This window comes from Homo sapiens, chromosome 2, assembly GCF_000001405.40.
Source record: "Homo sapiens chromosome 2, GRCh38.p14 Primary Assembly".
Classification (NCBI taxonomy): Eukaryota; Metazoa; Chordata; class Mammalia; order Primates; family Hominidae; genus Homo; species Homo sapiens.
This window is the reverse complement of record NC_000002.12, coordinates 177,155,449-177,171,260: the sequence shown is the minus strand read 5'-3', so window position 1 is coordinate 177,171,260 and position 15,812 is coordinate 177,155,449. Positions and strand designations below refer to the sequence as shown.

General features: G+C 39.6%; 1 long non-coding RNA gene across 1 annotated transcript in view, besides 4 other annotated features; it reads left to right on the top strand.

Moving 5' to 3' along the window:
• Nucleotides 562-1,761: an enhancer, noted in NCBI's record as "MED14-independent group 3 enhancer chr2:178034228-178035427 (GRCh37/hg19 assembly coordinates)". NCBI's record gives its function as "activates an origin of replication core promoter dependent on BRD2, BRD4, P300/CBP and CDK7 cofactors, and independent of MED14, by STARR-seq in HCT116 cells {active_cell/tissue: HCT116}" and the evidence as "EXISTENCE:reporter gene assay evidence [ECO:0000049][PMID:35650434]".
• Nucleotides 814-983: an enhancer, noted in NCBI's record as "active region_16795". NCBI's record gives its function as "activates an Ori minimal core promoter by ATAC-STARR-seq in GM12878 lymphoblastoid cells {active_cell/tissue: GM12878}" and the evidence as "EXISTENCE:reporter gene assay evidence [ECO:0000049][PMID:35858748]".
• Nucleotides 2,646-2,940: an enhancer, noted in NCBI's record as "tiled region #4751; HepG2 Activating DNase unmatched - State 5:Enh". NCBI's record gives its function as "activates a minimal TATA promoter and a strong SV40 promoter by Sharpr-MPRA in HepG2 cells {active_cell/tissue: HepG2}" and the evidence as "EXISTENCE:reporter gene assay evidence [ECO:0000049][PMID:27701403]".
• Nucleotides 3,942-4,460: an enhancer, noted in NCBI's record as "H3K4me1 hESC enhancer chr2:178031529-178032047 (GRCh37/hg19 assembly coordinates)". NCBI's record gives its function as "activates a minimal SCP1, AML or CMV promoter by ChIP-STARR-seq in naive H9 embryonic stem cells {active_cell/tissue: H9 hESC(naive)}" and the evidence as "EXISTENCE:reporter gene assay evidence [ECO:0000049][PMID:30033119]".
• LOC105373760 (uncharacterized) overlaps nt 5,751-15,812 on the top strand; it is a 101,257-nt gene continuing 91,195 nt past the window's right edge. The window contains exon 1 of the long non-coding RNA XR_001739795.1: nt 5,751-6,913. This is a non-coding gene — a long non-coding RNA (uncharacterized LOC105373760). The remainder of the gene's footprint in view (nt 6,914-15,812) is intronic.

Here is a 15,812-nt window from a genome sequence, read left to right as displayed (position 1 = left end):
CTATACCCAGTCCCTAAAGTACCCATAACTTCTACTGTTCAGGGAGAAGGGGCGTTTAGAGCGAGAGCCTCCCCTTCTTCCTTCTTGGCCAGTGAATAAAACCTGATTGCCTTTTCCAACTGGACATTCTTCCTTTGCCATCAATACAAAGTGGGGAAAAAACTCAGTTTACTGGCAACAAGTCCAAACCAATGGCCTCATGTAAATTTTATTTAATACCTCCCAAAGGTCACCTCTCCAAATACCATCACACTGGGGTTCGGGCTTCAAGATATGCATTTTGGAGGGGATACAATTCAGTCCATAGCAGGTTCTTTGATTTCCCATTTCTCATTGATTCTGAGTATCTTTCCCAGGTAACTGCTGGGAGGAGAGGTGCCTAGGTCAATGCAGGAGTTAAATACTTTTGGTCGCTTGTCTTAACAGCATGAATTTCAAGCAGAGCTTCTAGGAGTGGCTGCTCAGTTTTGGACTGCAGTTACCTGCCCCCATCTCTCCCTTGGCCGGGCTCTAATGCAGGGCATCTTTTCCTAACGTATACAAAGGCTTGTTTCTGGCTTGTTTTTTGAACGGATTCCAAATCTTACAAGTGTAACAGTAACGATCCCATTAGATACGCAGATTCTGACCCAATTTCCTAGGACTGAAAAAAAAAAAAAAAGAATGATTTTGAAAGGTGAAAATAAATCAGTCCTCATGTCATGCAGCTGAGGTTCTCCCTCTTCCCCAAGAGTGATTTTTTTTTTTGTTGGGACACTTTTCCACATCTCACACATACCCTGTTCCTCCACTCCCTACTCATTTGCCTGACTTGTCTGGATATGTTTAAGTAGCACACCCAGTCTGAGTCCATTGTCAAGGGCCCCTCGAGGCCTCTGCAAGGCCTGCCCTGCCAGTTTGACAAACATGCCCAGGCATGCTTGAACTCCAGCAATGGACAACAGATTTTCCACTATACAAATAAAGGGAGGAAGCAGGCAAAGAAGTATTGCAGAGGTCCAGGAAAAGAGAGGGAGAGCACAGTGCCACTGTGCCACTGCCTGCCTCAGGTTCTCTTTTGATTTGCATTTTTAATGGTAAATTTTGGTACAAAAGTTGCCATATACTCAGCGGTCAGCCTTTCTCCTCTCCACATCTTGGGCCATAAGTCCTTGGCGTGTCGGATTCTATTTCCTTCCTGGTCTATGTGTAGTGCTCACCAAAAATGCTTAAGACCCATGCTTGATGATGAAAAAAAATTCTATTTAAGGAATGGTGACCAAAAATGAACTTAGATGTGAAACTAAAACAAACAAAAAGCTTTTCACTTTGCTTTGAACTGGGCACACTCTTTTAACAGTAGGGCACTTCCTGCGTGTAATGTAGCTCTGCTGTGACCAGTTTCACCACGTCTGTTCAATGACTGCCTTGGGAACCAGATCAATCGTGGTCTACCCTTTAAAGGTAGCAGCACTAATTCCTGCTGCCAGCCTCAGCTCAGACACAATGGAGAAACAATTCCCCAATGTTAGACTTAATCACATTGATCTATTTTTCTGTAGCTCTGGTCTTTGCAAGAAACAATGAATGTACAGCCAAACTCACTTAAATGTGATTATGTCAGCCGTTCTATTATCTCTGTATCTTGTATTTTGGGGGCTGTTAATGATATATCATAGCAGATAATAGAAATTTGAATTTGTTTCTTTAAAAGTAGCCAGATGAGCAAGTACATGAAATGACTACAAAGAGTCCATTTCAAATCTTGTTGAAGGTCATAATGAAGATGGTTGTCTTATAATCTCTTACCAACGGAGGTGTTGGGGAAGAAAAAAATCCCCCTTCCAACAACTAAATTAGTTAGGGTGGCCTCAATCTCTCATCATCCACATTGATCAATATTCTCACTACTTCTTTATTTTTATGAAAAATGGGGAGGGACAGTGCAATCCTATCATCTCCACATTTATACAAGGAGTTCTTGAGAGTTAAGGCAGAATGCAGTCCTCCGGGTCCCTTTATGTGGTCAAATAACCCACAATTTTTGGCTGGCCTCACCCAGTCTTCGTTGATTCCCTTTCCCTTGCAACTATAGGTGCAGCCATGGGACCAAGTTCTGGCCAAAGGTTTCCAAGTGGAAGAGAGCTTCTGGGAGCCTTCCTTGACGTGCAGCACACCCTTTGCCTCTCCATGCCTTCCTGCTTCCTGCTGCTTAAAGCTTGAGTGCTGTAACCATGAAGCATGAGCATGCCAAGCACAGCTGAACAGCAAGACAGAGGACCTTGGGTCCCTCAAACCATGAATCACTGTATCAGTCCTAGCCCCACCACTCAGACTTTTGTGTGAGAAAGAAATTTAACCCGTGACTCAAAACAACAAGTTTATTCTATTTTTTTTTTTGAGATGGAGTCTCACTCTGCTGCCCAGGCTGGAGTGCAGTAGTGTGATCTCAGCTCACTGCAACCTCCTCCAAGTGATTCTCCTGCCTCAGCCTCCTGAGTAGCTGGGATTACAGGCACGCGCCACCACACCTGGCTAATTTTTGTATATTTAGTAGAGATGGGGTTTCATCATGTTGGTTAGGCCGGTCTCGAACTCCTGACCTTGTGATCTGCCTGCCTTGGACTCCCAAAGTGCTGGGATTACAGGCGTGAGCCACCATGCCCAGCGCAAGTTTATTCTTGATCACACCACATGTCCATTGCTGGTCAGCAGGGGGACTCTGCTCATTGTGGGTACTCAGAAAGCCAGGCTGACAGTGTCCATGTCAACCAATGCTTCCACCATTGCTGACAAAGACAAAAGGAATGTAGTGAATTGTATACTGATAAGGCTTGGAACTGAAAATAACACATGCCATTTTGCTGACTAATGCAAGTCACATACCATATCTAACTTCAAAAAGGTAGGCAAGTAGTCTATTTGCCCTAAAAGCAGGAGAACCAGAATGTGTGGATAATCCCAATAATGACTATAATTTCTATCTTACCTAAGCCACTGTTATTTTGGGTTTTCAGCCAATTGCATCTGCACTGAATCCTAATTAAGAGAGGAATGATCACATCAATGCTGTGATAACTATGTCCTGTGAGGAAGGCTGTCACTGGGTGTACACCTTATACTCGGAAGGATTTGCAGGGGTCACTCCCTGTGGCTTTTCTGAGAAAGAAGAAGCCACATCTTTCTTAAGATCCTCAGTCATCCTTCAGTCATTGACATCTACTACACTGCAGGCAAATCACTAAGAATTCCTATTCCTAAAGTTCAGGCTACCACCTCTAGCTCCTTCTAAGTCTACGAAATATTCCCTATTCTTTTGAAAACACAACTCTAGTCTTTTTCTATTCTGCTTTGTTCCGGCATTCAAATCTTAGTCCTTGAGATCTGTCATCTTTCCCAGAGGCTCTAAATATGTCCTTACCTCCTTCAATTTGGCAAATATCTTCACTCGACCCTATGACATTTTCCAAATCTATAGACAAATGAGTCGTTCTATACCTATTGTCTTTTTGTTTTCCTTTTCTGAAACCCCTGTGATGAGGCTTCTGTTTGTACCATTCTACTTAAACTGTCTAAAAAGCCATTAATGGCTTTTATCAAGAAGCGTTTGTCTAAAACTCTGGAATTTCCTGGAAACATGCTTTCGTATATTTCATATAGTGGGATGGATAACAGCAGATAAAAACAGTCATAGGTTTAGTAAAACATAGTAGAGCCCTTTCTGCATTTGGGTAGTATGGGAATGCCTTCTGATCTGCTACAGGTAAAATCATATGTCTGTCTGCTCCTGCCCTAAAACACAGGAGCCATCTGCAGTACAAGGCTGACATATTTATTTATTTTGCAACACACACATTCGATCTTTTTTTTTTTTTTTTTTTTTTTTGAGACGGAGTCTCGCTCTGTGGCCCAGGCTGGAGTGCAGTGGCGCCATCTCGGCTCACTGCAAGCTCCGCCTCCCGGGTTCACGCCGTTCTCCTGCCTCAGCCTCCGGAGTAGCTGGGACTACAGGCGCCCGCCACCACGCCGGGCTAATTTTTTTGTATTTTTAGTAGAGACGGGGTTTCACTGTGTTAGCCAGGATGGTCTCGATCTCCTGACCTCGTGATCCGCCCGCCTGTGCCTCCCAAAGTGCTGGGATTACAGGCATGAGCCACTGCGCCCGGCCACATTCGATCTTTAATCCAGTGTTTTAGTGGGTGTAGGTGTGACTTAGAAGCAGGCACAGTTCATTAAAAAACAAAAAACACCAAAACCTTTTACAGGTTATTCTCACAGATAAAAATTCTATAGGCTACCAACAGAGGAAGTCTTTATTGTTCCTGGGCGCTAGACCATACACAGAAGGACCATACTTGCTCTTTGCAGTCTCATTCAGAAGCAGGAAAAAGGGGCTGTATTGGATTTGAATATGAAGGACAAAAGAAGCTCTGGAAACACCAAGTAATAGTCTATGTTACAGGTTTAACACACCCATTTAATCTCATTGGAAAAAATAATGAAACTGGTGAAAAGCATTTATGGAACTGGAGGAGAGCATATTTTGCTGGTTTTACTTTTATGTTTGAAGTTTTGGGTATAGCTATGCCCATAAATACTGAAATGCCTAGCATAAAGAACGCAGCCTGGGGCATACCCCATAAAACGTACAGTGCAATTAAATGAGCAATTTCCACTGGAAATAAAACGGGCATGTTGAGTGGAATATGAATTAAACTGCATATGACTCAGGCCTGCACTAGGCTTTAGAGAGAGATCTGCTGGTTTCAGTAGCACCTGATGCCGTCCATCTAAAGGTCAAGGCCAGTAAGTAACAAAAGAAAACTGTAGTTAGCATGAAGATTAGGGCATACCAAATTGTGGTTAATGTAGTTTCCCTGTCATGATGTCTCCTGAAAGGGACCAGCAAAATTACGACTGATAACAAAGGATTAAACCTGACCTTTCTTTACAATGCAGACACATTGAGCTTCTGCGTCATTTGCTATGCAGCATTTTTGACTTCCTCAAACTTCATTTTCACTTTCTGAATGTTCTCTCCCAGACCAAAGTCACCCAGGTGCCATAATAAAAGAATTTCTAAGGGAGATTTCAACTAGAAAACCAAAAGGCCATCAAAACAAACATTGATTTGCATTCCAGATCACTTTCTGCTCTTGTTCATTTCTGGGATCTTATTTGGAGATTAAAGGGTAATGATTCACTGATATCCTGTGGGAAAACCAGTTCAGGAGCAGCCTTTGACAAACCACATGTAGAAATCTGGCTGATACAGGGAGAAAACAAGTTTCAATCTTATTTTTAGTGTAGGGTAAAGGAAGTCCACCCAAGATAAAGCTTAGCATTCTTTCTTTGAGGAATTAGGGTAAGGGTGAAGAAAAGAAAGCTTGATATTTTTCTGCCTATGAAAGCCAGAAGAAGGCTCAGAGAAGCCCGTTCCTTCTTTTCCTCTTTTTCCAAGTGCCAGACCTCCGCAGCTCCCAGAGGAAATGAGGGCATGGGGTGGGTAATAGGGCATGTGATTTGAATGAGTATTCCCAGCCATTTAATATATTCACAAGTCAAACTATAAAGTATTTCTTTAAAAAAATTATAGTATTTCACTGAAGTTTGAATGTACTTTCTCTTGCCAAAATAATCAGAGTCTTTCATTTTTCTAATGATAAAAATGTGCTACATGTGTAGGAAAATTTCCCAAATGAAAAATAACATTTTCTATGGCAGCACATACAGTGCTTGAATTTTTCACCTTAGATTTTATTCTAGCCAGACCTAAACTCTGTCTTACTTGCATAATGATAATTCATGTCGTCAAACCAAACGCACTGTTTGCTGCTCGTTTGTCCAGGAGCCATCTTTTCCTAAAGTGAGCAATATTACGTGCATTTTGTCTGGCTGGCCGAGGGCTCCTCCCTACAGCTTCTGCAGCCATGGAAGAGTCTGGAAGGACAGTGTTCGCTTGTACAAGAAGAGGGAAGGATAGGATGAGAAAAGCAAAATCTTGGAGAGTCTGTGGTCGGAAGAAGAAAGCTGAAGCTGGTTAGGAGGAAGGAGTGTGTGAGTGAATTAGGAGCTGAAGCAGTAAAGTAGCTTTCCCTGTGACCCTGATGTGTCGGGCATTTCTGTCTTAGACTAAAAGCATAATAAAAAAGGCACTTTGTTTAGGTTAACAGAGCATTATATAACTGGAAAGTTTTACAGTTTTATATATATAGTGAATAGTTTGTAGAGGATAAAAAGACTTCCCTTTGGTTTATTATTTGGGTAAAATAAAAACCCACGAATCATTTAAGGATGCATTTCTTTTTCTTTTTTCTGCCTTTTTTTTTTTAAGACAAAAGCTTGAAGGCATAAAATGGAGTTATTTTCATCGGGATATCACCCTCGATGCTGCTGCTTTACTACATGTTCATAGTCAAAATTATTTCATGTTTCCCTTGAATAACTACGATCAGTTTGAAAACAGCTTTGTTAATTAGTAAGAGATGACGCAATATATCACTGCATCTTTAGGGCTCTGGCGCCAGCTAGTGGTAGGAGAGGGGAGCCGCCCTGTCGCTCTCAAATCTGGGAAGGCGTCGGTCTTCTCGCGTCCCCTTATCCCTCATCCTCCTCATTTTTTTTTTCCATCAGCATAATGGGGGAATCATTGCAGTGTGGCCAGAGAGGAGCAGACGAGATTATAGATGAAAGTAGAGAAAAACGGTGGGCAGGGGCAGGGAGAGGAAAGGCCAGACAAATGCAATCATTTCTCCAAAGGATTTGAGAAGAGATCATTTATTTGAAATATTCCTGCCATGTTGATGGAGCAGCTCAATCTTTTGCCAGTGAATCTTTAGCGTTTTGTTTTTCATTTGTAGATATGGTTGAACATATACTTAGGACACGTAATAACTATGGAACTTCATCACAAACACAGCACTGAGGACATGTTGTAAGTGTAAATTTGTGTTCATTTTTAAGTAGCAAATATTTCTACTGTGAAGAGGCTCTGTTACCTCCTCACACGTATGACTCTGAGATGAATAACTCTCAAATGGTTAATAAAGGAGAAACCTCTTAAGATGGTATTTGTAGATGGTACACTATGAAAAAAATACAAAATTTCCAGGCAAAAGAGACTTTATTTGGGAGGTATGAAGTAGATGTAGGTTTGGAGCCCTATCTATTCTCAAATAGAAATAGGCTGTGATGATTTGCAGGAAAACAGAAAACATACAGTATTTATTTTAAGAACAAAGAATCTTTGGCAGGCCATCTTTCTCATTTAATTAAGCCATAACTGATCTTACTAGGGTTATGGAGGGACTTCAAATGCTAATAAATAAAACCTGAAGCTGAGACATTTCTTTCACTAAACAGCTGGAGCTGTTTATAACTCTATTACTTATTGCTAAAATCAATTATTATTACTAATATTCCCGGTGGAATTTATTATGAAAACAAGCTGAAGGTTATAAAGAAGAACTTTTCTTTTTAAATGTCATTCATATATCTATATTTATGTCAGTTATAGAGAATAAGGATAATCTGAACCAAGACTCTTGTAATAATATTTTTGGAAGGTAGATCTAATTTAAGAGGAGGTTTCAGGAAGGAAGAAATTGTCATAGTCTTACCTCAGTCTAATTTATATTACTATGCTGTTGGAGAAATAACATTTAAAACCTTGTCTATGTGAGACATTAGATAGTAAAATAGCTGGTCATGGTGTTGGTGTGTGAGATTTACATAGACTACTATTTTGAGCATATTTTAAACTTTTGCTAAAGCCTGCATATTTGATATAAGAAATTCACCTAACCTTGTTATCAACCAAGTCAAAATGTTGACATTTCCCCCTTGTTTTTAATCATGTTATAACTTTTCATATGTAATAAGGCCCTGGTTAAAAATCTTAAAAATCTTCAGTTGACCTTGTCTCCTCTATGTCTCTTTTATCTGTCTTTTGATATAGAAGCCGAGCTCATACAATTAAGAGTTTCAAATCAGTACCTGAAAAGGGGTATTGTTACTGTTTTTTTTGTTTTAGAAAAAGCAAATTAACTTTAGTAAGGCTCAATCAATGACAGTGGATTAATTGAAACACGTGAATGCTAGAGTTGAATTGCCATAAAATTTTGAGAATTACAGCAAAATAAAATAATTTATACTCTTAAAACAGCTTTGTAGTATGTAAGTACCTACTTTAAGTGCTGAGTTTGTAATTAGGTCTATCTTTAAAACTGTTTAATGGTTGCCTTAAAATATTTTGATGCCTACTATAATCCTTATATAATTTTCCATATGCTACCAAGTAAATGCTTTGAAATGTCATTCCATCTTAATTTGAAATTTACTCATTAAGATTTTAAGATTTATCTTTTGAATTTAATTTCTTATTACTTTTTGATATTATAGAATTAGAAAGTAACTCTATATGGCAATGAACACATTTGAAGGAAGGAAGGGAAACATACCTGAACATATTTATAATTTTTCTCTTTAGCAATTGCTCTGATGACTTTGAAATAGTGATATCAGCAAATAAGTAGTTCATTTGATTCAAATCCTCCTTTCATTCGAAATAGTGCATAGGATTTTTGCAAAAGAAATAACCATAGGATATCATACGATGTCCCTGAATGTGAAAACATAAAGACAAACTTACAAATAAGGAAACTCACACATTCATTCTGATATTCACATTTGAAAAGACAAGGCATACTAAAATGTGTATATGCGAATAATTAAATATTTGGCCTCCAGATTACATGCTTGTGAAATAGCACAATCTTCCCTCGCAGAGCGATGCTGGAACCCTCGACAGACCCTCTCCTCAGGAGACATTGGCACAGTATGAGGGGGACACATCTGCCGGCAAAGTACTACAGATGGTTCCCCTCATTAGCCTACAGAACTCCAAGCAGCCATCACGGAGGAGGCTTGGGAATCTCACTTGGGCAAGGTGTTAAGCTAGCCTCCTGTTCAATGTCATTACGGTTTCTCCAAAATAATCTCCTTAGTGTGCTCTGTTGGGCTGGGGCCGGTGTACATGTCGCACTTGCAGAGATTGGAGATGGCAGCACCATATCCAGTTTGCCCAAGGGCATTACATGATTTTTAGATTTGGAAAAGTTTCACAGCAAGTCAGACTTGGAAAACTTCTTAATCTAAATGCAGTGGCAGGACAGCCTTCATGCTCCCTGGAAACTCATTAGCTTTTGGAATCCAAGCACTACTCACCTTCATGTTCACGCTTCCTTATTACAATAAATGCGTTGGCACTCCCATTTCTCCTCTTCCCCTCAACCGCTGATTTATTGACCTAGTGGTATTTTAATTTTGTTTTATTTACCCTTTGTTTATGAATCAGCCTTAAAATCAGGGCACCAAGCCCTGGCAACCGGAAATGTTAGTTAAGTTTACCAGTAGAAACAGCAGGGGGAGCCCATACTGTTTTATGGTCTGCGGTTTCTCTGGCTGGATTATTATAATAATAATTATTATAGTCGTTGTTTTACGTTTATAACATAGATACTTACAATCTGTGTACATGTATAACATACATGTTTAGAACATGGGCAATCACCATGTGCTAGACTGTTGTAGTTTTAAGTCACAGAGGGTCAATTTTTATTCTTTAATTATATGAAATGATCAGGATACCACTAACAATAATTGAGAAGACAAGAACTTGGCAGTAAGAGTTCTTTTCCCTGTTTTTTGAACTAGAGAGAAATCCTGTTTCACATTTCATTATTTCTCAAAAAATAAAATAAGCTAAAATCCCTGTGTAATCTCTGCAGCTGTTTTCTGGCATTTCCAGCGGCAGCTTTTTGTTTTCTGAAGTAAAGAGATGTTAAAATGTACCATCTGATATGTTTTTAAGATTGTGATAGTGAGGAGAGGTTCTACTGCAATCACTGGGTATTCTAATATGAGCCAGACTTAGTTTTCCATTTTAAAGCTAATAAAACGCAGAAGCCCAGTGGCCTTTAATATTGGTTTCTTATGCTTGATGAGATCCTTGGGTCAGTAGGTTTTCAGTAACGTAAAATAATTCAGACAATCTCAATTACATTTTGCTCCCTAAATAAACCATGGTAACATCTCTGAGCATACATTTTATATATTTTGTATTGTAAAAATACAAAAATTAGCCAGGCATGGTGGCAGACGCCTGTAGTTCCAGCTACTTGGGAGGCTGAGACAGGAGAATCACTTGAACCCGGGAGGCAGAAACTTCAGTGAGCCGAGATTTGCACCACTGTACTCCAGCCTGGGCCAGACAGAGCGAGACTCTATCTCAAAAAAAAAAAAATTGAGAATAATTATTATTTTTTCTTTTTTGCCAAAATAGTGTAAGGTTTAAAATTCTATGATGAATCAACAATTCTGTGGATCGACATTTCTGGTTCTTTCCATTTTGAAATTAAAAAATGCAATCTTGGGGTGATCAGAAAACCTTAGGGAGGAATAGCATTTGAAGAGGACTTGAAGGTTGAGAAGAACTTTATGGGGATGGTAGTGGATGGGATGTGTAGTTGTGAGAGGGAAAGATACTTCGGGTAGAAAGAAGATCATAAGCAAAGGGGTAGTATTGGAAAGGGGTCCTAGTGAGACTAAGATATAGGAACCTTGGGTATATACAGAGGAGCAGTGGGCTATCTGTGAAGTTCTGATGTGCAGCTAAGCAGTTAGGACTTTATTCTAGAGGCAGTGGGAGCCAGGGAGGGTTTTAGAGGGAGATATAATAGGAATTACATTCTAGGAAGATTGATTTGGTGCCAGGGTACAGGGTCCTTGAAGACTTAATTCAGTTGATTTAGCAACATCATTAGAAAGCAAAATAAAGAAGATCTAATTTAAAAGTCACTCTCCACATAATTTTAGAATATGATATAAAATGTTTTTATGTCACCTTCCTTGACTAATATAGTCAATGCTAAAATCCAGGAGAATACCCAGCTTTATGGGTCTTTTCTTTCCATGAGTATTGGTAATAGCATCTTACATTTGGGGAGCATAATTTATTCTAAATGCTTATTATTCAAAATAACATAATAAAGACATAATAAGTCTCTCCCCCACCATGATCTCCCTTTGATGGCATATATAAATGTAGATTTAGAGATAAGATGGAAAGTTTAGGTCTGTTTCAGTGTTTCTATGAGTAGTTGAAATTAGGCCGGGCACAGTGGCTCATGCCTGTAATCCTAGCACTTTGGAAGGCTGAGGTGGGTGGATCACCTAAGGTCAGGAGATCAAGACCAACCTGGCCAACATGGTGAAACCCCCGTCTCTACCAAAAATACAAAAAATTAGCTGGGCATGGTGGCAGGCACTTGGAATCCCAACTACTCAGGAGGCTGAGGCAGGAGAATTGCCTGAACTTGGGAGGCAGAGGTTGCAGTGGGCCGAGATCACACTACTGCACTCCAGCCTGGGCAACAAGAGTGAAACTCTGTCTCAAAAAAAAAAAAAAAAAAAAAAAAAGAAAGAAATTATCATTCTATGGCTACTTGTTTTAAATTAGCACTGAATTTCCTTTTGTAGGTGTCTTACACTGTGGTACCATAGTTGACTCAATTATGCACTCATAAAGCACTTTTTTGAGAAAATAGTCAACCAGTTGTGTGTGAGTGTTGTTTAGTAATGTCTTTCTTTCTCTAAAAAGTTTTACAGTTTGCAGATATGATATATTAATGCCGTATTCTATTTGATCCAGAGAGAAAGAGAAAAGGGACAATAACGTGAAGCAAAAGGGGGCCCTAATTACAGAGAAGAGATTTAAATAATTTTAGTAAAATATAATATTTTAAAAATGTTTCAAGAAAATAGTTTATATCAATACATTTTAAAACCATATAGTATACTTTAAAAAGTACCATTGGAGTCGGGAGGAAACCCAATAAGACAGTTCCTTCTAAACCATTTGACAAAAAGCGGGAACTTAGAACAGTTACCTAATGCAGTCCATTTGTTTATCTGTTGAACTAATAGTACCATGTTTCAAGTAACACACGATTTCTGGCTTATGTAGCCAAAATTACCATCTTCGACTTCCACGTCAATGTGTGCTTCCATCTAACTTCGTATAAATATATAGGGCTCTTTAGACTCTGTGTTTGGCATTATCACAATTTTTGCTTGGCTCAGACAGGGCAGGTTGATTATCATTAAAGTGTTATTTATTTCTATTTTATTAAGCCCCTTTTACATTCATGTTACAGGTTAATTTATAATTTTATTTCATGCACTACTTGGCTTTACTGATTAATATGCCCCATGGCATTCAATAAAGTCAGGCAGTGGAGGAAATAAGAGTGGTATTAATTTCTAACATTGCTATAAATTTGCCTTAATAAAACTAGCTCAATAACATTACAGAAGTAATACAATGGATACTTCCAAATTGTTAGCAAAGATGCAACTAAACAATTTTCCTTCCTGAATTTCACATAACACTATTGCCTTTTCTTTGAAGTGTGGAAATGAAACCTGCCATATATTTTTTCTCTTTTTAAAAGGTAATCTAATAGTTGGCATGATAAGACAGTGCACAGCTCTCCATTTGACTTATTCCAATATGCCTTATTCAGACTTTAGGTTACAAACTGTGCAAATTAACACAGGCTCACAGGCTCCTGGGATGGGGGAGTGAAACTTTATTCATGTAAGAGTTTTCATAAATATTAACATTAGGTCTGCAGAATCATTTGTTCTTCTCTAACCTATTAATGTTCAATTCCAATAATAAATATGATTACTACAAAATCTGAAAATACAGAAGGGCTAGTGAAAGTCTGCATGCTAGGTTTTTTTTTCCAGTTAACCCAGCTCTCCCACCCCAATTGTTCAATGAAATAAGATTAGAATTAGGATTTATAGGAATTTGTAAAAACGAGGACCCACTGCCAGCCACTGAATTTTGGCTCACAAAATTTTGATGATAAAGAATGTATTCCATTATTAAGTAACCAAATTCATGTATTAGAACACTTATTCTCTCCTTTTCATTTAATAGATTATAGCCAGGCCAGCCAAAATATTGTTACAAATTGGAAATTTGCCTTTATCTCCATTATTCCAAAAAAGTAAGGGCACTTTACTCTGATGTTTTCCCTTAGCTTTTCAATAATGTCTTTGAATAGCATTTATGGGCTGGAAGGAGATTTGACAGAGAAAAGCAACAAATGGAAATGTGTTCATTTGACAGGTATTTATTTATCAGCCTTTGTACCAGGGTGGGGATAGAACTGTGAAACAGTTTTACCAGTTTGTCCTCTGTTCCCCTAGAATATATAGACTTTTTTGTTGTTGTTGTTGTTGTTTTTTTTTTTTGAAGCAGGGTCTCTCTCTGTAGCCCAGGCTGGAATGCAATGGCGTGATCATGGCTCATTGCAGCCTCAACCTCCCAAGCTCAAGCTATCCTCCCGCCTCAGCTTCACAAGTAGCTGGGACTACAGGCACATGCCACCATGCCTGGCTAATTTTTAAATTTTTTGTAGAGATGGGGTCTTGCTATGTTTCCCAGGCTGGTCTCTAACTCCTGGAGTCAAGCAATCCTCCCACCTTGGCCTCCCAATGTGTTGGGATTACAGGCATGAGCCACCATGCTCGGCCTAGTCTTGCTCTTTTACTTACTTTAATAAATGGTGAAATTTCATACCATTAGTAAGGAAGCTATTTTGGGACAGAATTTTTTTTTTTCTTCTGTTTGTCTTTGAATGGATGAAGAACTTCTGCATTCCTTAAATCCCCCTCATATCATACCAGACAAAGCAGTAGGCACCTTTGCTCACCAAACAGCTCAAGAAATGGTGGTAGGGTGAGTCATTCTTTTTTTTTTTTTGAGACAGAATCTCACTCTGTCGCCCAGGCTGGAGTGCAGTGGCATGATCTTGGCTCACTGCAAGCTCTGCCACCCGGGTTCAAGCTATTTTCCTGCCTCAGCCTCCTGAGTAGCTGGGACTACAGGCACCCACCACCACACCCGGCTAATTTTTCTATTTTTAGTAGAGACAGGGTTTCACCGTATTGGCCAGGCTGGTCTCGAACTCCTGACCTTGTGATCCGCCCTCCTTGGCCTCCCAAAGTGCTGGGATTACAGGTGTGAGCCACTGCGCCCAGCCAGGTGAGTCATTCTTATACCCACTCAGCACTCCGAGCATTTTTTTTTTTTCTTTTGAGACAGAGTCTTGCTCTGTTGTCCAGGATGGAGTGCAGTGGCACGATCTTGGCTCACTGAAACCTCTGCCTCCCCGGTTCAACTGATTCTCCTGCTCAGCCTCCAGAGTAGCTGGGATTACAGGTGCCTGCCACCATGCCTGGCTAATTTTTGTATTTTTCATAGAGACGGGGTTTCACCATCTTGGCCAGGCTGGTCTCGAACTCCTGACCTCAGGTGATCCACCCACATCGGCCTCCCAAAGTGCTGGGATGACAGGCGTGAGCCATGGTGCCCAGCCACTCTGGGCATATTTTGAGACTTCTACCAAATCAGCTTAATAGAATGATTAAACACCTCCTCCTTTGCCCCAGCTCAAATGAATCCAAGCCTATTAGATAAGTGGATTTGATGTTTTCATGTTTTCCTTTGCTCAGCTCTTGGCTAAAATTACATTTTCAGATAACTCACATAAAAAAGATGTGCCTTTTCATGTTAATGTATTTATGCAACTTCCAGCTTTATGAGAAAGTAAAAATTTCATTTTTACTGTTTCTGCTACTAAACCCAAACTGATCTTCTTTGCTTTAAAAAGGAGATATTTAGAATAAACAATTCTAGGCTGGGTGAGGTGGCTCACGCCTGTAGTCCCAATGCTTTGGGAGGCTGTGGCAGAATTTAGTCCAGGAGTTTGAGACCAGCCTGGGCAACAGTGAGACCCCATCTCTAGAAACAAACACAAACAAGCAAGCAAACAACAACAACAACAAAAAGCTGGCTCATGCCTATAATCTAATCCCAGCAGTTTGAGAGGCCAAGGTGAGAGGATCACTTGAGCCCAGGAGTTCAAGACCAGCCTGGGTAACATAGCAACACCCCATCTCTACAAATAATTAAAAAATTAGCTGAGTTTGCTGGCATGTCCCTGTGGTCCCAGGTACTCGGCAGGCTGAGGTGGAAAGATCACTTGAGTCTAGGAAGTTTCAGTGAGCTGTGATCATGCCACTGCACTCCAGCCTGGGTGAAAGAGCAAGGCCCTGTCTCAAAAAAAAAAAAAAAAAAAAAAAAGAAAAGCATTTCTAAATCATTCCTCAAACTAGTTTTTAGTAAAAAGCTATCTTCAAAGTAATAATCTACATCCTGGATCCTGAGAATGATCATTCAAAAGCAAAGCAACAATTTTAGAGACTTGGGAGTCCCATTTTAGAAGATTTGTTTCCAGAGTCCTCCTTATTTCCTGAACTAGAAAATAAGAGACTTCCATTGGCTTATCCATCTTCAGGTAACCATTCACTTATAAACATGCTGATGACTCAGTGAATTGAATCAATCTACACAGGCAGTCATCCATACAAGCCTTTATTTGCTTTAGGAAATCTGTTAGCTAATGAATTTTGATGTGTTTTTATAAATTTTTATGAAGTAGACAGACTAAACTTAGTTTATTATATTTCAGTATGGATTTGACAATGCCTTTGATTGACCTCGCAGCTGCTCATCACACAAAAGTACCTAAAATTGATACACTTCAGTCATTAGGATAAACTCCAGGAAAAGTTTTCCTTTCTTTCCATTTTATTTTATTTTTTGAGACGAAGTCTCACTCTTGTTGCCTAGGCTGGAGTGCAATGGCATGATCTTGGATCACTGCAACCTCTGCCTCCCAAGTTCAAGTGACTCT